The sequence below is a fragment of the Homo sapiens genome, chromosome Y, assembly GCF_000001405.40.
Source record: "Homo sapiens chromosome Y, GRCh38.p14 Primary Assembly".
Taxonomy (NCBI): domain Eukaryota; kingdom Metazoa; phylum Chordata; class Mammalia; order Primates; family Hominidae; genus Homo; species Homo sapiens.
In genome coordinates this window covers 21429594-21452511 of record NC_000024.10, presented here as the reverse complement: position 1 = coordinate 21452511, position 22918 = coordinate 21429594, and the positions used below count along the sequence as shown (strand labels likewise).

The window sequence follows — 22918 nt, the reverse complement described above, 5'->3', positions numbered from 1 at the left end:
TTGTTGATTTTAGAATGGGCCTGGGTCCACAGTATGACAATTTCTGTTTCAAGATTTGTGGAGGGATTTACTCCTACAGATTCAGCTTGGTTTGGTGGTATAACTGTAGCTGGTATGGGCTGTGTCCAATCATTTACTTTTTGTGGGAAAGAGAGTTTCAGGAATGCCAGATGAATTGGTCTCCCCTGTGTGAGACACCCATGGGGAGCCATATGTGGCATCTGAGGAGAAAAGTGTCCTTACTGCCTTCATGTCTTTATGCCCCAAGAGCATAAGAGCTCAGTGGCATGCCACACCTTGCTTGGGGAAATAACACTCCCTTGAAGCAGTGGAGTAAAATCAAACATCTTGGCTTCTCCTGAAACCTGCTCCTACCCATTTTAGTCCCGATGAATTGAAGGTCTTAAGCAGTTTAGACCCACGCTTTTGCTAGGGAAATTCAGATACTGCCACTGCTATACATCTTATTGAACGACTCACGAGTTCTCCTTCGCTGATTAATCCTTTTCCTCATCCCTTCTTCCCCCTCCCGCCTGCCCTAAGAACAAAGAGCTTGTAAACCAATAAATTGGGTGGGGGCTGAGAGCTCCAGGCTATGAGTAAGAGTCTGACACTCTGGTCCCTTGGACTAGCCTTTTAAACTGTTATTCTGTCTCTTTCTAATTCTTTATCTCCGCCGGACTCGGGGTACCTGCCGGATTCGAGGTAACCGCCAGCTGGTGTGGGGCTGGTTTCCCCAACATCTGGTGGCCAACGCGGGGCTCCCCATAATCTCTACAAATAATCCAGTGAAGGAACGCCAGAGCGTGCAAAGTGGAGGACGACTGACAAAGGACACCTGAATATGTTTTCACTTCAAGCTCTACAGGTAAGTAGGGCGCTCGGAGAATTCCAGGGTAACCTAGGGAAAATATGAGACTGGCTGAGAGTAAGTTTGTTAATTAAGCCTGGTGCAGCAGTTATTGTGCCACGGAGGGGTAATTGTGAATACCCAAAATCTTACATCTTTGTTCCATCTCGTAGAAAAGTATTCTTCTTGGTTCCTGGAATATGGAAACATGGATTTAAAAGATTGGGACAAGGTAGGATCAGACTTAAAACAATCACAACAAGAGGGCCCTTCTCCACTTGGTCTGTGTGGTCGGCAATTTAAACAGCACTGCAGCCTTTCCACACTGAGGAGGAGGAGGAGAAGTTTCAGGATGACATAGAAAAGTTTAATAATCAGGAGTCTGCTAATCAGCAAAGTGAACTGTCACAGTCTAGTTTTAAAAAGGGGGAGAAATGGGAAGTTATATATCCTAACCTCCAAAAACTTATGAAAGAAACAGTGCTACCTACTGCGCCTTTAGGGGAAGGTCCGGAATGGCCACTCCAACTTTAGTCTTAGGTATTTTTGGAACAGGAGTCTGCGACGCGGCTTGCAGCTCCCATTATTGCACTCCCTTCCACTAACTGTGGCAATGGGAAGCTTCAGGCTTGCCCAACAGCCAAGTAAGGGGGGGGAATGATCCAGGCTTATCTGCCTGTTAATTATGGCGGAGGAATACTGCAAGCTAGTCCGAATACAAATTATGGCGCAGGGACAATCCAGACATCCATTCACCAGGCACAAGAAATGGGGAATTCGGGTGCTTGGCAGTTTCTGGTAATTATTTCTCCAGCTGAGGAGCCCAGAGAACATGCTCAAGCATGCTGGGAGCCATTTCCTTTTAAAATATTAAAAGTCTTTAAAGCAAGCAATTGGACAATATGGGCCAAATTATCCTTATATTCATTCCTTGTTACAATCTGTGGCTTATAACTGGCGTTTAATACCTATAGATTGGGAGTCATTAGCCTGATCCACCCTGTCCCCCTCTGAATTTCTCCAATTTAAAACCTGGTGGACAGATTAAGCAACAAATCAGGCATGCAGAAATGCTCAAACCCAACCTCTGTTAATATCACATCTGACCAATTGCTTGGAATCGGACAGGCATGGGGTACTCTAAATCAACAGATAGTAATGGGTGATGAGGCTGCTTATCAGCTCAGAACGATGTGCCTGAGTCTGGGAAAAAATTCACAACCCTGGTACTACTTATCCTTCTTTTAACTCAGTTTAACAGGGTCCAAGGGAGACTTATCCAGATTTTATTGCCCATTTGCAAGACATGTCTCAAAAGGGTATTTAGGATTCTCATGCCAGGAAAGGGATCATTCAGCTGCTTGCTTATGAAAATGCTAATACAGAATGTCAGGCAGCAATTAGACCTATTAAGGGAAAGGCAGATCTAAATGAGGAAAAATCTTTAAGCGAATACATTAAAGCCTACCATGGCATTGTGGGGCACTTACATAAGGCCAGCCTCCTAGCTCTGGCAGTGGATGAACTAAAGGTAACAAAAAGCACACGAGTGTTGCCTGGATCTTGCTATAATTGTGGGCAGACAGGACATACAAAAAGAGAATGTACAAAGAGCCAAAAAAGGCAAAACTCAGGAGGAAAAAGCAGGGTACCAGGAATCTGTCCCATATGTAAAAAAGTAAACACTGAGCTAATCAATGTCTTTCAAAGTTTGATAACAGCAGACAGCCCTTGCTGGGAAATGGAGAGAGGGGCCAGCCCCTGGCCCCGATTCAAAATGGGGCATTTCCAATTCAGGATGGGATGTCCCCGACTCCAAATGGAGTCTTCCCGGCCCAGTCTATCCCTGTACAAATGTACAGCAATTATCTCCCTCCACAGCTAGAAGCGGGGCAGTAGTTTTATTCTGTACTGAACCTGTATCCCTCCTTCCTGGGGAGCCTCCTAGGAAGGTCCCAATGGGAGTTTACAGCCCATTGCCAAATGGCACAGTGGGACTTATACTGGGAAGATCCACCTTAAACATAAAGGGAATTCAAGTACATACTGGAGTAGCAGACTGATTGCCAGGGAGAAATTCAAATTGTTTTCTCCTCCACTGTTCCCTGCAGTGCTAATCCAGGTGACAGAATACCTCAACTGTTACTTTTACCATATGTTAAGTTAGGAGAAATCTCAGAAAAAAGAACAGGAGGATTTGGAAGCACAAATTCAGCAAGCAAGGCTGTCTATTGGGTAAATCGAGTGTCTGACAATAGAGTTATTTTTATGGTTTATTCAAGGAAAATAATTTGAGGGACTGGTCAACACAGGAGCAGATGTGTCGATGATAGCCCTTTATCAACAGCCAAAAAACTGGCCTAAACAAAAGGCCCCAGTGGGTCTTGTTAGGGTCGAGGATTTGCTTGTATCTCACCAGAAGAGAATCAGCTTCCTGTCTGGGTACCCACAAGACATCTTAAGCTGTGCCATGAGCCAGAGTCCAAGGAAGAGAAAAAGACCTTGGAACGTTCCTGCACCCACAGTTGATCAGATGGCTCAGATGAACATCTCTGTTGGGCACATGGAAACAAGTGAAACTAGCCAAGTCAACTCCACCAACCTGGGGGCAGATTAAGAGACTAGCTCACATTGCAGAAGAGAACCTGAGGTCTCAGAACAAGCCGCTGACCACCAGTAATCTAATGTTAGCTATGATGGTGGTAATCTCCTTGGTGGTGAGTCTCCCCACAAAGGGGCAGATCAAAATTACACTTATTGGGCCTACATTCCACTCTCACCACTGATTAGGCCTGTTAACATGGTTAGTTGACCCAGTGGAGGTTTATGTTAATGATACTGTCTGGATGCCTGGACCAGCAGATAACCAAGGTCCTACTCATCCAGAAGAGGAAGGAATGTTAGTGAATGTTTCCATTGGTTATTGCTTTACTCTCATCTGTCTGGGGCTGGCAGCAGGATATTTAAATTCTGATAAACGAAGCTGGATGGTTTATGTTCCTGCACATAATTCATCAAAAGCCTCTATTCATGTATTTAGTGGAAGGACATTTCAATGTTTGGACCCTATTAAATACCTTGAGCATGGCTATGTTATGACACATCACCAGATTAATAAATTTAAACCTAATAAGAAGTCCTGCCCTGGGTAGGCAGGCCACTCAATAGTCTGAAAACTAGAGGTTCTAACCTGGGAAGCTTGTATTGCAAATAGCAGTGCTGTACTGAAAAATAATTCCTATGGAATCATCATTGATTGGGCCCCTGTGGGACACTTTGCAGTAAATTGTACTGGACAGCATGAAGATTGTAGAGAGACTCCTTTTGCAAATGACTACCCAGATAATGCACCAAAATTATACGGAAGAATTGAAACAAATTACACTATTAAGTGGGAGGAGAATGGTATGGCTCCTCCAAGCCCAAAAATGATTGATCCAATTATAAGTCCAGAGCATCCAGAATTGTGGAAATTAATGATGGCTCAAATCCCAATTCAGATTTGGAAAGGAGAATATAAAACAGAGAACCATAGTAAAAAACTTAGATTTGTTGTAGCCATGACCTCTAACTAGACAGTCCCTTTGCAGCGTTGTGTTAAACCTCCTTTTATGTTGGCAGTGGGAAAAATTAATATCCTACCTGACTCTCAAACCATATCATGCCTCAACTGTCATCTTTTTACCTGCATTAATTCTACCTTTAATAAAGATAATAGCATTTTACTGGTTAAGTCTTGAGAAGGAGTTTGGATACCTGTTTCCCTCAATAGACCTTCGGAGGCCTCTCCCTCCATACATAGTATCATTGAAGTGCTAAACAGAATACTTAATAGATCAAAGAGATTCATATTTACTTTAATAGCTGTGATCATGGGCCTTATATCTGTCACAGCTACTGCTGCTGCTGCTGGTGTTGCTTTGCACTCTTCTATTCAAACTGTGGGCTTTGTGGATAGTTGGCAGAAAAATTATTCTAAGCTTTGGCATTCCCAAAGCCAAATAGATCAAAAATTGGCAAATCAGGCCGGGCGCGGTGGCTCACGCCTGTAATCCCAGCACTTTGGGAGGCCGAGACGGGCGGATCACGAGGTCAGGAGATCGAGAGCATCCTGGCTAACACGGTGAAACCCCGTCTCCACTACAAAAAAAAATACAAAAAATTAGCCGGGCATGGTGGCGCGCGCCTGTAGTCCCAGCTACACGGGAGGCTGAGGCAGGAGAATGGCGTGAACCCGGGAGGCGGAGCTTGCAGTGAGTCGAGATCGCACCACTGCACTCCAGCCTGGGCGACAGAGCGAAACTCCGTCTCAAAAAAAAAAAAAATTCGCAAATCAAATTAATGATCTCCATCAAACAGTAGTTTGGATGGGAGATCGGATTCTATGGAGCATAGAATTCAAATGCAATGTGATTGGAATATTTCTGATCTTCATATTACTCCTAGCTCTTATAATGCCACTGAACACCATTAGGAGATGATTAGACATAACCTACCAGGAAAAGAAGACATTTTAACACTAGATATTGCTAAACTGAAAAAAACAACTTTTCGAGACACCTCAGGCTCACCTAAGCCTGTTGTCTGGAGCTGATATTCTTGCTGGAGCTACTGATGGCCTTTCTAAGAGTAATCCTTTAAAGTGGATGAACACCATAGGTAGATGAACAATTGCAAATTTTATTTTGGTTTGTGTCTGTTTATGCTGTTTGTTTTTAGTCTATAGATGCAGAGGGTACCTAGGGAGAGAAGCCAGAGAGCATGAATGATAGCAATGGCAGTTCTAATAAAAAAAAAATAGAGACAAAAAAGGAAGACCCATGAGAAAGAGAGTTTCTGGAATGCCAGATAAGTTGGTCTCTCCTGTGTAAGACACCCATGGGGAGACGTGGGCAGCCTCTAAGGAGAAAAGTCTCGTTATTGCCTTCATGTCTTTATGCCCTAAGAGCATAAGAGCTCAGAAGAATGCCACAGGTTGCTCCGGGAAATAACACTCCCTTGAAGAAGTGGAGTATAATCAAACATCTTGGCTTCTCCTGAAATCCACTCCCACCCATTTCAGTCTCAATAAGTTAAAGATCTTTAGTCGTTTAGACACATGCCTTTGCTCAAGGAAATTCACAGAAACTGCCACTGCTATACATTTTATTGAATGACTCACAAGTTCTCCTTCACGGATTAAACCTTTTCCTCATTCCCTTCCTCCCCCTCCCATCTGCCCTAAGAACAAAGAGCTTGTAAACTAATAAATTAGGTGGAGGCCGAGAGCTCCACGCCATTTGCAAGTGTCCGATGCTCTGGTCCCCTGAACCCACCTTTTAAACTCTTATTCTGTCTCTTTCTAATTCCTTTGTCTCCGTTGTACTAATTCCTTTGTCTCCACTGGATTCGGGGTACCTGCCAGGCAGTGTGGGGCTGGTTTCCTCAAAACTTTTGGAGATTCAGCCTCAGTCCACCACGTGAACATATTGGTTTCATATTGTTTCCAGAGATTTATGGCAGGTGATTTGACTTAGTTCCATCGTTTGATTGTATAAGCTATTGCCTGTGTCAAATGCTTTTCTGCTGAAGACTCAGCCTGGGTCCAGGGTATGAGTGTATCAGATACAGATTGGATCCAAGGCTTTACTGTTAAAAACTGTAAACTTTACTTCAAACTGAGTTCATGGTGTGTGTGTATCAGCTACAGATTCTGTCCAGTAAACTACTGCTGAAGATTCAGCCTTACGCCATGGAGTGTCTGTGTCATATACAGGCTGTGTCCAAAGATTTCCTACTGCAGATTCAGACTGTGCATAGTGTGATAGTAGCAGCCCGTGGCAGTATCCATGGATATCCCGCTATTAATTCAGCCCGGTTCCATAGTGTGATGGTATTGGCTATGGACATTGTCCAGGTATTTACTGATGGACATTCAACCTGGGTCCAAGGTACAATTATGGAAGGTATAGGCTGTGTCCATGGAATTACTGCTGGAGATACAGCCCGGGCCCATGGTGTGACTTTGGAAGTTGCAGCCTCTGTGCACAGATTTACCATTGGAGACTCAGCTTGTGTCCACAGGATAATGCTATCAGATTCAGGGAGTGTACAGAGATTTACTGCTGAAGATTCATCTGGGGCCCATGGTTTGATTGTATAAGACACATACTGTGTCTATGGTTTTATTGCTGGAGACTCATCCTGAATCTATTGTATAGTACTATCACTACTATACTATTGTATAGTAGTATCACCTACAGACTTTGTCCAGGGATTTATTGTGGGAAATTCAGGCTTGGTCCACAGCTTGTCTACATCAGCTATTTGTTGTGTCCAAGAATATCGTGCTGGAGGACCATTCAGGATCCCCTGTGTGACTGTATAAGTTTCAGACTGTGTCCAGGCATTTCCTACTATAAATTCAGCCTGATTCCATGGTAGGACCATATCAGCTGTGACATCTCTCCAGGGATTCATTGCTGGTGTTTTACCCGGAATCAATGATTGAGTCCAAGATACTGGTGGGTGTTCAGCGTGGGTCCATGGTTGGAATATATCCTGTTCCCAGGGAATTACTCCTAGAGTTTCAGCCAGAATCCATGTTGTGAGTATATCAGTTTCAGACTGTGTCCAAGGATGTAATAATAATGATTCAGCCTGGATACACATTGTGACCATATCAGATATAGGAGAGTGTATCCATGAATTCATCACTAGTGATTCAGCTTGGGTCCCTAGTGTGATTATATCAGTTTCCAACTGTTTCCAGGAATGTATTGCTGGAAATTCAACCTGGTTTCACAACATTATTGTTTCAGTATCAAAACGTATCCAGTTTTTTACTGCTGGCAGATAAGCCATGGTCCACCATGAGACTGGATTAAATTCAGATGGGAGCCAAGTATTTCCTTCTAGATATTCAGGCTGTAATTTTGTCCAAGGACTTACTGGTGTCATTTCATCAAGGGTCAATGGTATGACAGTTTCAGCCATAGTTTTTGCCCAGGGGTTCATTGCTGGAAATCTATCCTGGATCCATTGTGGGACTGTCTTAGCTATAGGCTCTGTCAAAGGCAATAAGGCTGGAAATTCTTCTTGGTTCCAAAATTTGGCTTCATCACATACAGAATGTGTCCAGAGATTCACTGCTGGAGATTTGGTAATAGTCCACAGTATGATTGGATCAGTTTCCCTCAATAGATGGGTGGATGTTAATCCTTGAAATTCAGCCTTTGTCCATACTGTGACTGTATCTGATAACATATCTGTCCAAGAGTTTACTGTTGGAGTTTCAGTCTGGGTCCACAGTGGCACTGTGGAAGTTTCAGATTATGTCAGGGATTTAATTCTCAAGACTTTCCCTGAATGCATGGTGTTAATATAGTAGCTTCATTTTGTACCCAGGAATTGATTACACCAATGTCTTTCTGAATCGAGTGTCTCAAAGTGTCATCTTCAACTTTGGTCCAGGATCTAACTTTATCACTTTCAACCTCACCCCAGAGTCTAAATGCATAATCTCATGATGTATCCAGTCTCTTAACTTATCAGTCACAGATCGGTTCCAAAACCTCACTATTGCAGTTTCAGACTGTATCTAATGATGATCTGTCAGAGTTGCTGGTTCTCTCCACTGTGTGACTGTCTCTGCTTGAGACTGAAACAAAAGTTTGATATCAGCTTCAGTGTGATTCTAGGGTCTGCTTTTATCACCTTCAGGTTGGGGCCCAGGTACCACTGTTTCCATTCCAGTTTGGGCCCAGTACCTAACTGGATCTGTTTCTGGTTGGGCCCAATGTTCTTGTTTCCATTCTTCAGTCTGGGTTCTGGGTCTCAATATTTTAAATTTACGCTGAATCCAGGGTCTCATTCTTTCAATTTCAGTTTGTAACCATGGATTAATTGTACCAGCTTTCAGGCAAGTCAAGAGTCTTCCTGACTGAGTTTCTGCCTAGGTCCACATTTGGACTATGGCTGTTTCAGGCTGACTCCAGGGTCTGATCATGTCAACTTTAGAGTGAAGTAAGGGCTCAATTATGTTCATAATAGGATGCATGTCTGCATCAGGGGTTTGAGTATAATAGCCTAATGTTTATTCAAGGTACTAAATCTATCCGTTTGATTTGAGGGCCTGATCATACTGGTTTTATTTTGGATCCAAGACCTAATAGTATCACCTTTTGACTTAGCACGTGAATATGGAGTATGCAGTGTAGAAGAAATCCAGAACCAAGTTGACTTAGGTTCCACAAGAGTCCAGTATCCATCTGTCTTTTCTATAGTTTCTTGGGATCCAAATACATTCAAGAGTAGCTGACACCATGGTTCAAAAATATGGGTTACTGTAGGATACGGAAATCCATCTTCACTGAGGGATGAATGAGCCCATAGTTCAATTTTATTAACTATGAAAAGTACTGGTGGAATCTAGTTGTAAGTTGATGGTTTAGCACCAGGGTTAACTCTATGAGCTACATGATATGTTTGGTGTCTAATACTCTCTTCACTGGATTGAATCTGTTCCTGTTTTATAAGACACAAATTGTTTCCAAGTTTCAACTTCAGGAGTAATTTCTAGCCAAGGTCTAGCTACAATTTGTCCATGAGACAGAACATTAACAGATTGAACTTGAGACTGACCAGTATCAATCTCAGAAGGAACTTGAGATCCACCTAGGCCCCTTGAAAAGAGAAACCAGGATCCACCAATATTAACTAATGGTAGAGTATGAAGCCTAATTTTACTAGCTAATGTATTAATCCAGGATCTTGCTGAATCAGTCACAGCTTGATATTTATAATTTGTTGTCTTTTTCTGAGGAAGATTCCAGGGTATAGGTATAATAGCTGTTTGGGAGTTCTGGGGTCCAGAAAAAAAGAAATATTGAGAAGTGTCAGTTTCTGGGGTACTCCAGCATTCAGCTGTATCAGGATGATCCCATGGTTTGGCAACAGGAGAAATCCAGGATCATACCTTTGGGAATTTGCTAGCTGAGGAGAGGTGACCACTTTGAAAGTGTAATAGTCTTTTGGCATGAAAAAAGTCTCTATTATTTGAACCAAAAACATTGAATAAGTATGCCAGTGCTTTCTGTTCACTGGGGAAGTGCTTAATCTTCTCCATGTTTGTACTGAGAATCCATGGAAGACCAAAGTGTCAGAGCTTATGTTACAGCTAAGTGTGTTTTGTGGACTATTTTCTACTCCAGGAGGAAAATTGCAGGGTAGGGAACAAATACGACCCAGTGGTTTCTGGGATGTCTTGATAGGCCATCTAATCCAAGATATGTATAACCTGTCCTGATGACAAGAACAGGGTCATAACAGGCTTCTGAGGTATCACTGACCAGGCCTACCCGTTCCCAGTGACGGCCAAAGAGGGAAAGAACAGGACTATCTTGCTGTACCTGAATGGGTGGAAACAAAGATAACCATATATATTAGAAATACATATAGACGTATAGTATACATGTATTAAAATATATAATGTATAAATTACATATATATGCAATACATATATGTTAATTATAAAATACACAGACACATATATTGTATATGTTTAGGGATACTTATATTTATAAATTAGTTATATAGCTTATATGGTTTATACATATATTAAATTATAAGTGTAAATTATACTTTTCTATTACATGTAAATTTCATATTACTTGATGGACAGTATTAAATATTACATGGTACATACTTCAAGAGTTCCACATAACACTTAGGCACAAATAATTCTAACTATGTTTAAAAGAGTAAAATAAAATACCAGAAGCAAATTAGAGGAAAGTTCTAAACAATAAAAAATCACCTACATACGCAACATGATTATCTGAATATTACTTACGTTCTTTGTCATGTAATTTTAGGCAAAGCACAATTTATACAGTCATATGAAATGAGTGTTTGTATCACCTCCTCTGCCATTATGTTTGTTGAAGCCATCATCATTTGTTTGGCCTCTCTGCTTGATTCTGATGCCCACTTGTAGCTAACATTTTGTTCTCCCTATAGCCGCAATTACCCTCAGAGGAAAAGCACTTATTCTAAAATTGACTGCATAATTTGAAGTAAAACACTCCTCAGCAAATGCAAAAGAATAGAAATCATTAAAAAAAAAACAGTTTCTCAGGCCACAGTGCAATCAAATTAGAACTCAATATTTAAAAACTCACTCAAAACTGCACAATTACATGGAAACTGAACAACTTGCTCCTGAATGACTACTGGGTAAATAATGAAGTGAAGGCAGAAATAAATATGTTCTTTGAAACCAATGTGAAAAAAGACAAGTTACCAGACTCTCTGGGAAACATTTAAAGCAGTGTTTCAAGGAAAATTTACAGCACTTAATGTCCACAACAGAAAGTAGGAGATAACTAAAATCAGCACACTAACATCAAAATTAAAAGAACAAGAGAACACAAACAAGAGCAAACGAATTAAAAAGCTAGCAGAAGACAAGAAATAACTAAGATCAGAGCAGAACTGAAGGAGATAGAGACATGAAAAACCCTTCAAAACATCAATGAATCCAGGAGCTGGTTTTTTGAAAAGATCAACAAATACATACACCACTAGCCAGACTAATAAACAAGAAAAGAGAGAAGAATCAGAAGAATCAAAAAGACACAATAAAAAGTGATAAAGGGGAGATCACCACTGATTCCACAGAAATGCAATTTACCATCAGAGAATACTATAAATACCTCTATGCAAAGAAACTAGAAAATCTAGATGAAATGGATAAATTCCTGGATGCACACACTCTCCCAAGTCTAAACCAGGAAGAAGTCATATCCCTGAATAGACCAATAACAAGTTCTGAAATTGAGGCAGTAATTAATAGCCTACCAATGAAAAAGAAAAAAAAGTCCAGGATTAGACAGATTCACAGATGAATTCTACCAGAGGTACAAAGAGGAACTGATACCATTCATTCTGAAAACATGCCAAACTATAGAAAAAGAGGAAATCCTCCGTAACTCCTTTTATGAGGCTAGCATCATTCTGATAACCAAATCTGGCAGAGAAACAGCAAAAAAAGAAAATTTCAGGCCAATTTCCCTGATGAATATTGATGCAAAAATCCTCAATGAAATAAAGGCTAATAGAATCCAGCAGCACATCAAAAAGTGTATTCACCATGATCAAGTTGGGTTCATACCTGGGATGCAGGCTGATTCAACATAAGCAAATCAATAAACATAATCCATCACATAAACAGAACCAATGAAAAAACCACATGATTATCTCAATATATCCAGAAAAGCCCTTCCACAAAATTCAACACCCCTTCATGGTAAAAACTCTTAATAAACTATGTATTGATGGAACATATTTCAAAATAATAAAAGCTACTTATGACAGACCCACAGCCAATATCATACTGAATGGCAGAACCTGGAAGCTTTCCCTTTGAAAACCTGCAGAAGACAAAAATGCCCCCTCTCTCACCCCTCCTATTCACCACAGTATTGGAAGTTCTGACCAGGGCAATTAGGAAAGACAAAGAAATAAAGGGTATTCAAATAGGAAAAGAGGAAGTCTTGTAGTCTGTTTTTGCAGACTACAAGATTGTATATTTAGAAAACCCCACTGTCTGAGCTCAAAAATTTCCTTAAGCTGATAAGCAACTTCAGCAAAGTCTCAAGATACAAAATCAATGTGCAAAAATCACAAGCATTCCTATACATCAACAGCAGACTGAGAGTCAAATCATGTGTGAATTCACACAGTTGCTACAAGGAGAATAAAATACCTAGGGATACAACTTACAAGAGATGTGAAGGACCTCTTCAAGGAGAACTACAAACCACTGCTCAAGGAAATAAGAGAGGACACAAATAAATGGAAAAACATTTCATGCTCATTATAGGAAGAATCAATATCATGAAAATGGCCATACTGCCCAAAGTAATTTATAGATTCAATGCTATTCCCATCAAGCTACCATTGAATTTCTTCACAGAATTGTTAAAAACTATTTTAAACTTCATATGGAGCCAAAAAGAGCCCGCATAGCCAAGACAATCCTGAGCAAAAAGAACAATGCTGGAGGCATCAAGCTACCTGAATTCAAATTATAATACAAGGCTACAGTAACCAAAATAGCATGGTACTGGTATCAAAACAGAGATATAGACCAGTGAAACAGAACAGAAGCCTCAGAAGTAACACCACACTGGTACAACCATATGATCCTTGACAAACCTGACAAAAACAAGCAATGGGCAAAGGATTCCCTGTTTAATAAATGTTGTTGGGAAAACTGGCTAGCCATATACACAAAACTGAAACTACACCCTTTCCTTACACCTTATACAAAAATAAGCTCAAGATGGATTAAAGACTTAAATGTAAGACCTAAAACCAAAAAAGGCCTAGAAGATAAACCTAGGCAATACCATTTAGGACATAGGCATGAGAAAACACCTCATGTCTAAAGCACCAAAAGCAATGGCAACAAAAGCAAAATTGACAAATGGAATCTAAGTAAACTAAAGAGCTTCTGACAGCAAAGGAAATTATCATTAGAGTGAATAGGCAACCTACAGAATAGGAGAAAATTTTTGCACTCTATCCATCTGACAAAGCACCAATATCCACAATCTACAAAGAACTTAAGCAAATTTACAATAAAAAAACCCAACCCATCATAAAGTGGGTGAAGGGTATGAACAGACACTTCTCAAAAGAAGACATTTATGCAGCTGACAAAAATATGAAAAAAAGTTCATCATCAATGGTCATTAGAGAAATGCAAATCAAAACCACAATGAGATACCATCTCAGGCCAGTTAGAATGGTGATCATTAAAAAGTCAGGAAACAACACATGCTGGAGAGGATGTGGAGAAAAAAAATGCTTTTACACTGTTGATGGGAGTGTAAATTAGTTCGACCATTGTGGAGTACAGACAGGTTATTCCTCAAGGATCTAAAACTAGAAATACCATTTGACCCAGCAGTCCCATTATGGGTTGTATATCCAAAGGATTGTCAATCATTCTACTATAAAGACACATTCACACTTATGTTTACTGAGGCATTGTTCACAATAGCAAAGACTTGGAACCAACCCAAATGTCCATCAATGATAGCGTGGATAAAGAAAATGTGGCACATATACACCATGGAATAGTAAGCAGCCATAAAAAAGTATGAGTTCATATCCTTTGCAGGGACATGGGTAAAGCTGGAAAGCATCATTCTCAGCAAACTAACACAAGAACAGAAAGCCAAACACTGCATGTTCTCTCTTATAAGCTGGAGTTGAAAAATGAGAACACATGGACACAGGAAAGGCAACATCACACACTGGGCCTTTAGTGGGCTGGAGGGCTAGGGGAGGGATAGCATTAGGAGAAATACCTAATGTATATGATGGGTTGATGGGCGCAGCAAACCACCATGGCACGTGTATACCTATGTAACAAAACTGCACATCTGCACATGTACCCCTGAACTTAAAGTATATAAAAAAAGGAAATACATATAGACATATAGTATATCTGTATTAAAATATATAATGCATACATTTCATCTATATGCAATACATATATGTTAGTTATAACATATACAGATATATTATGTATGTTTAGGAATACTTACATTTATAAGTTAGTTATATAGCTTATATGGTTTATATATTAAATTATAAGATATTAACTTAAAAGTATAAATTATACATTTCTATCACATGTAAATTTCATATTACTTGATTGACAGTAATAAATTTTACATGGTACATACTACATGAGTTCCATGTAACATTTAGGTATAAATAATTGTAACACTGGTTAAAAAAGTGAAATCAAATACCAGAGGGAATTTAGAAGAAAGTTCAAAACAATAAAAAATCACCTACATACTCAACATCATTATTTGCATATTACTTATGCCCTCAGCCAAGTAACTTTACGCAAAGCACAACTTATACAGTCACATGAAACGACTGCATGTATCACCTCCTCTGCCATTACATTTGTTGAAGCATCATCATTTGTTTAGTTTCTCTGCTTGAATCTGATACTCACTTGCAGCTTAGAGTTTGTTCTCCAAGTAGTCAGAATTATACTCAGAATAAACAAAAGGATTTGTCTTTGATCTCACTTAAGTGTTTTCCTTTGTTCATCTTGCCATATGTTGCGAGTATGACTACTTGCTTAATTCTAGTCTCCGAATTATTTCAATGGTTATTTTGTCTGCCTGGAATTCTCTTCCTCCAAATGTCTGCCTAGATTACTTCCCCAGGGGTTTAGTCTTTGCTCAAGTAAAGCATTTTAAAGGCATGTGACTCCAAAAACACTTTTTCCAACATCTTTGCATCACCTAATTAACTATGAACTATAGTTGATGTAAAAAATGTTTGTAAAATGTGCTTAGGTTAAATGTGCCAGTGTTATTGATAGTACCTTTAATACTTTTAGTCTTTGCATGGAAAAGCAATAAAACTAGAACAAGCCAGGAAACCATCTTTTCAAAGTTGTGGTAGGCGGAGACCACCACCTTCTTCAAAAAACAGGACACCTGCAGGAAGTCTGAGATCTGGAAGACGAAGTAGTGGAGGAACAAGAGGGTGGCTTCTCTCATATGAAGGACACTTCGGTAATGTTTTAAAATATAAAAATGGAACCACAGGACTGAAAGAAAATAAGTTTGATGATATCAAATTTTCTCAATTTTATCTATTTCCTTTATGAACAGAAAATTAACTTACAGATAAAATTATTTCTAAGTACTAAAGGTGTATTATCAGAATGATTGAACTAATATCTAAAATTCATTTTAAAATTGTAATAACTTTGCATTGAAATAACAAAAATTTCAAACTGAATTGAGTTTATGAATGCTGATTGCCTGCACTCAACAAGTTTCTGCAGAACTCATTTATATTCATTATACTTTAGAGTTTTCAACTTTGGGGCCCAGAACTTCCTATCAGTTGTAACATCAAAATAGGATGGAATATTTAAAATTTTCCAACAGGAAAAAAGTAACTCAGTACTTAAGATTGATTTTGCAATATTTGTTTTTTTGTGTATACATGTGCTAACATCTATGCAAATCTATTGCTTTGTAATTTTGATAGAGAGTTTGTACATTGGTCTGCCATAAAGCATTTTCAATTTAAGAAATGTAGAACTTTAATTTCTGAAAACAGTCAGTGACTCTGGAAAGGTCTAATAACCACGGCTTCACAGATATATATGTATCTGTCTTTGCTGAAGGATGAGTCACTGAAAATGATATTTATGAGTGATTTACACCATAGAAATGAGGGGTCGATTTTTACGTAAAAAAGAAAAACTAACCATATATTTGAAAACAAAACAAAACAAAACAAAATGATTGGATGGGCTGGGTGAGATGGCTCATGCCTGTCGTCTCAGAACTTGGGAAGTATGGGATGGGGGGACCACAAGGTCAGGAGTTCCACACAAACATGGCGAAACCCTGTCTCTCCTAAAGGTATAAAAAATTAGCCTGGCATGGTTGCTTGCACCTGTAATCCCAGCTACTTGGCTGAGGCAGGAGAATCACTGGAATCTGGGAGGTGGAAGCTGCAGTGAGGTGAGATCACACGATTGCACTGTAGCCTGGGGTAATAGGGCAAGAGTCCATCTCAATAACAAATAAATAAATAAATAAATATATCAGTTAACTTGTATTGTCTATTAACCAACCTTCAAAAATCTATCATTTATTTTTGGGTTTTAATAACCAGATGTGTAATTAATTGGAGATGTTCTTTTGAAGCTGAAATTGCAGTGTTTGCTCCATTTTAAGATGCATAGCTTCATGATTATTTTGTCTCCATTGATCTTGAGGGTGAGGTTCAATAATATTCTGTCATGTAAGAGAATGTGTGTATTCTAACCTGTAATGCCACCTGGCAATTGGCATATGTCTATATTTTTTGTAGATATATGAAAAATATTTTTATATTATTTAATATGCAATTCTTAAAGATTATTAAAATTTAACAGTCTAATCTGAAAATTAGTGTTTTATAAGGGAATTGTAAGAATTCTATATTCTGTTAACAAATTTTAGAGGTAAGGTATTTTCCTGAAGTGGCATTTTTTGATATTGTAAATATTTGAGTTTCTTTGAATAGAATTTAGTTTATCTTTATGATATGCTTTGAAAATTTTTCCTCATAACAGAATGATATAAACAGTCATTTATCATTTTTCTTTTAATATTTTTATGTATATTATACTTAGATATTTTACTGATCAATATCTGCTCCCTGTTCACTCCCTACTTTTCCCACATCTCTCTCATAGAAAATATTATGATTCTTGAGTTTCTTTCTAGATTTTCTAAATGGAGTTTTATTGCTTGAGTTGTACTAATTTCATATAAAAATGTTAATTTTATTAGTTTAGACAAATGTGAATTTGTAAGATTATAATATGTAGAAAATCTTTATAAAAAACTAAAACTTAGCCATTTAAGAAACAGTGATGTTAGTTAACTAAGGAGTTTGTTTGAGGCCGGGCGCAGTGGCTCACGCCTGTAATCCCAGCACTTTGGGAGGCCGAGGCGGGCAGATCACGAGGTCAGGAGATCAAGACCATCCTGGCTAACACAGTGAAACCCTGTCTGTACTAAAAACACACACACACACAAAAATAGCCGAGTGTGGTGGCAGGCACCTGTAGTCCCAGCCACTCAGGAGGCAGAGGCAGGAGAATGGCGTGAACCGGGAGGCTGAGCTTGCAGTGAGCCAAGATCGTGCCACTGCACCCCAGCCTGGGTGAAAGAGCAAGACCCCACCTCAAAAAAAAAGAAAAAGAAAAAAAAGAGTTTGTTTGAAATACAGATGATGGTGGATACACTCCTGATCTCAACATGAGTTCTTCTAGGGGACCCATTCCAGTTAAAAGAGGTCCCTCTTCAAGAAGTCGAGTCCCTCCTCTGAAAAAATCTGCTCTTTCTGCTATGGTAAGAAGCAATAGTTGGATGGGAGGCCAAGGTAAATGCTACCTGATAGAAAGACCATAGTTTTTGTAGGACTAAAAATGAGCTATTTTACCTGGATGCTTAACTTTAAGTTTATCAAACAAAATAGAAGTGACATACACATTGGCTTAATTGGTGATCGATCACTTTGAGTATAGTTTCTCTCTCACTAGGTACATTTCAGGTTTATGGTGAAGAAATACTCTAGCTTCTCATTGCAGATCAAAGAATTGATTAGAGTGAGGCCAACGTTTCTTTTAATCCTGTGTTGCTAGAGGATTCCCCTTTATTTTTCTAAAAGCTCCTAGCAGTATTCTTTAAGAGATGCTAGGCTTCTTCATCTAAAGAATTCTTCCATTTCCTAGGTCCCGTGGTAATGGTCCCCTGGTGTTCCAATCTGAAAATTGCTTGTTCAGTTTCTTTGTTGGGTTGGAGTCTTGTTCTTACCAGGTCAGAGTGCTTTGGTGAGATGATGGCTTACTACAGCCTCAAAATCCTGGGCTCAAACAATTATCCTGTTTCAGCCTCCTGAGATGCTGCAACTACAGGCATGCACCACTACACCTAGCTAAATTTTTTTCCTATTTTTTTGTGGAGAGGGGATCTCACTACATTTTCAAAACTGACATTAAAGCCTGGGGCTTGAGCAGTCCAGCTGCCTCAGCCTTCTACACTGGCTCACAGTGTCAGCCACTGACCTGGGCCATCCAGCTTCTGAGACCTCAATAAGCTTATTTGCAAGGCATTCTTACTACTTATATGAAGATTCAAAAGAACTACAAGAGCATTTAGCAGAAAAGGAGTCACTGGGCTTAAATATAATTTAAAAATAATTTTAAGGCTTGAAAGGTAGACATGAAGGAGTTCAATATTCTTAAGTGAGTATCACAGAAGGACAGTGTTGTGAAATATAAGGGGATGTAAATCAATAATTAAGATTGTACCGGGATGTTTAAACATTAACACAAGATCCTAAGTGTAAAATTTGAAATTATTTGAGGAGAGTACTTAGAACTAAGCAACACGAGGTGAGCAGTAGGATTTAATAGAAGCAGTATTTTTCAGAAGGATAATTTTAAGATTGCAGACTAAACAGAAGAAAGCAAGATAATAAATAAAATTCTTAGCAAAGAAGTTTAAGCAGAACAAATTAAAATTCTTACTTATTCCTCCATCCTAATATGGAGGAAATTAAAAACTGACATTTTCAATTTTACATTTCTTATGTAGACTGTCAGTGAAGTTAGGTATTTATTGACTTCAGGACACAAAAGCCAACATATTTCATTGGAAAATTCGCTAGTGAACATATCATAGGTGAAAGGCTGACATTTAAGGAATAGCTAGTGAAGAGGATATTAAAGAAGAACCTTCTCTATTTCGAAATAGCAACAATGTTGTAATGACCCCTTTAACATTACTGGTTATTGAAATAAAAGTAAATGTTGGCCATCATTAGAAAATCTTCACTAATACATTTTAATTTGTCAACATTTAAGGTAGAGCCAGCCACTTAGAGATAAAGGAGAACTTTTATGTAAAAATTTAGCATGTAGTCATTCAAAGGTAGCAGTATTTGTGTGTGTGAGATGAATTTAACAACATGGGAAAATTTACCTTCTTCAGCTGAGAAAGGACAATTTATGTAAACTTTAAAATCAGTGAAAAGTTTGATGGTTTTACATGTTTTCCCTCTGTCATTAGCAGTCATCAGTCATTCATATGAAGAGGAAAATAATAACTAAGTTGTTATTAACATTACAAATGAACTTTACCTGAGAATTAGTGTTAGCCTTCAGCTTCATTAGAAGAACTGGCCTTGCGGGAGCCATGGGGTTATCCAAAGCCATAAGAAATATTCACAGTGTCATGACTGGCTAGTAATTTAGGAAACAAAGAATGGAGTCATAGAAGAAATAATTTTAAAAAGTTGTTTGAGAGAAGATAAAATAGTGTTTCAGATTTGGTGTTCTTTACATAATGTTCCATTACATGAGTGTTAAATATCCCATATCATGTGGAAGAGAGAATTATGGAGGTCCTCCATGCAGAGTGACAATCTCTTCCTGGATAAATGACCATATGTCACCAAGAGATGATGGTTATGCAATTAAGGAGAGTTAAAGGAAAAATGAAATAAAATAGTTGATTTTTTTTGTTGTGGTGATGAAATTCACATAACAAAATTACATATTATAAGGTAAAGAGTTAAGTGGTGTTTAATACATTCTGTGTCATGCAACAACTACCTCCATCGAGTTCCAAAACATTTTCATGATTCCAAGCTAAAACTCCAACTACCAGTTAAGCAGTTCCTTCCATTTTCTCCCTTCCCTCAGCTGCTAGCAAACACCAGTCAGTGTTCCACCTCTGAATTTATCTGTTGTGGGTACTTAACGTTAATGGGCTCAAACACTACATGACTTTTTGCATCTGTCTCTTTTCCCTTTGCATGATGTTTCAAAGGTTCATTTACATTGCAGCACTTCACTCCTTCCACAAACTGTTAACCCATTATTTTATTTGGGTTGTTTCCACCACAGTGTTTCTATGCACCAATATTTGTTTGAGTATACTTATTCGATTCTGGGTATGTATATAAGTGGAATTGCTTGGTTCTATGATAATTATGTTTGTTTTCTTGAGGAACCACCACATTTCTCCATAGAAGTTGCATCATTTTCCATTCCAACAAGTATTGTATCAGGGTTCCAGTTTATCTACATCCCCTCAAACACTTGGTATTTCCTGCTTTTATTGCCATTCCAGTGTGTGTGTGTGTGTGTGTGTGAAGTATGGTATCTCATTGTGGATTTGAAATGCATTTTCTGAATCACTGATTATGAGTATCTGTTCCATGTGCTTTCTGGGCATTTGCCTATTTTATTGGAGAAATAGCTATTTAGATGTTTGGCAATTTAATTGTGTTTAAGTTGTTATTTAGATATATTTTTGGATACTAGAATTTGAAAATTTAAAATGTGTTGCTTAAACTTATGCACACAGACATCATCCAAGTTCCCGAGAAACTAGGGATTATGCTCCACCACCTAGAGGCTATGCATACTGTGATTATGGTCATTCTAGTCAGGATGAACATTCCTCTAGAGGATATAAGTACTATAATGTTATCTGGATTTATTAAATTGATTTCTTAAATTGTTCATTCTGCCATTAAGAACCCTTTTTTATTTTTTTTTTCAATTTAGTGATCATGGTGGCTACTCTGAGGCCTGTGGTAGAGATCTTTCTCAATGTGCAAGTGGAAGTTCTTACAGAGATGCATTTCAGAGATATGGTAATGGTCCAGGATGGATTTGTAAATTATAGAATTACATTTAATAGATCAGATCATTATTTACATGAAATTCTAAGGAAAATTATAAAGAACAAATATAACATGCTTCAATAATGAGTATTCTTAACAGTATAAAATATAGGGAATGATATGAAAGTGAGAACTTCAGTTCATGTTCAGAAAATGTGACTCAACATTTACCTTAGAATTAAACTTGTCAAGCTTCAAAATACTACTCTTACACTTATTTTAAATAAAACCTACTATTGCAGGCTTAATTATTATCCTGTCAACAAAGGCAGAGGAAAGCAGATATTTCCAAATAGTACTTTAATTAGTTCATGCTTTAGTGATAGCAGTAAAAATGTTTAAATGTAGCCCAACATATTATTTTATCAACTCTGCTGGGACCTCTCATGGTGCAGCACCTGCACAAGGACCTGGGATGTCTTATGGTGGAAGCAGCCATCATGATTATAACAATACTCGAGATAGATATGGCAGAAGTCGGGAGAGTTACTCAAGGAGTTGCAGTGATTTTTATTCCTGTGGTCATGAGCACTTTGGCAGAAAAGACTGAAGGAATACACCTTCTCTGGATAGGGTGCACCCTGCTCCTCATGTAGCATATGGTAGGTCAAGTTAAGTGGCATCTATAGGAGATAGTGGGGAAAGTCGACCTGAAAAAGGAGACTGAAGCAGATACTAAAGCAAGTATCCAAAATAATGGTTATTGCATACCAAACCTTGTTTGCAAATTGAAAATTGAAATGTTATTTCTGCATTGTTACCTGTGTATTACTGAAAGAAACATGTTGGTTTTGTGGAGAGAAGTAGATAATAACTTCCTCCATGAAGTTTTTGAGGAATTCAAAGGAAAAGGAATGTTTTTCAAGTAATTTCGTACTTGTTAATGCTATTTGAAAACTATCTGTTTAGATGTAATATCTATATTAAAATTTTCAGAATACATTGTTACATGTAATGCAAAATGCCTGATGTTATTGCTCAGCTATACATGCTTAAAAGCAAATACAATAGGAGAGTAAATTGTGTTGTTTGTTGAACATTTTTCTTTGTTTCTTTGAACACAAATAGAAACAAAATTAGGCACATATTACATCTCCCTTGCAAGCTGCACAAGTTTTCTAATTAGGCTCTTTCTCTTTAAAAATTTACAAGCTTATAATGTTTCAGAAGTCTTTAGAAGGACTACAAAATTATCTGCATCACCATAAAACGTTTATTTTTTAGAGGAATAGTACAGGTGAAAGGATGTAATTACATGTGGTTGATACTAAAGTTTAAGACATCCGGAACATTCTACTTGAAGCATTCTGTGACTGAAGGGGGATAACGGTAATGAAAACTTTCTTTTTTAACCTAAATCAAAAGTGTACCAGCGGAGTTTCTCAAGTGCATAGCATAATGAAATTAAATGTTCCTAGTTTAAATAGTGGAAAGTAATCAACACATGCATAACCTCACATACTTGTCATTTTGAGGTGATAAAACATGATATGCCCCATCTTACATTTATTAGAGAAAGAATGTGTTATCCCTAGTTAAAGTCAGCATGCTGCAGAAAAGGTTTTTAACCAATTCCTCCTTTCTAACTAGAAATATGTATTCTTGATCCAACATCTCCTCAGTATACTCTCTTCACTAAACACCACCCCAACCACTGGAGTCACTACCTCTGTGAGATCTGCTTTTAGATTTCATATAGGAATGAGGTAGTGGGCTATTTGCCTTTCTGATACCTGGCTTATGTCACTTAACAAAGTGGCATGAACACATTCACCAGATTCA

The 22918-nt window shown here is 38.3% G+C and overlaps 1 long non-coding RNA gene and 1 pseudogene across 1 annotated transcript in view; both read left to right on the top strand.

The window, feature by feature from the left end:
* The first annotated feature begins 665 nt into the window (after positions 1-665).
* PRORY (PRORY Y-linked lncRNA) overlaps positions 666-22918 on the top strand; it is a 69942-nt gene continuing 47689 nt past the window's right edge. Inside the window, exon 1 of the long non-coding RNA NR_170372.1 lies at positions 666-868. This is a non-coding gene — a long non-coding RNA (PRORY Y-linked lncRNA). The remainder of the gene's footprint in view (positions 869-22918) is intronic.
* On the top strand, positions 15165-22188 carry RBMY2TP (RNA binding motif protein Y-linked family 2 member T, pseudogene; annotated as a pseudogene).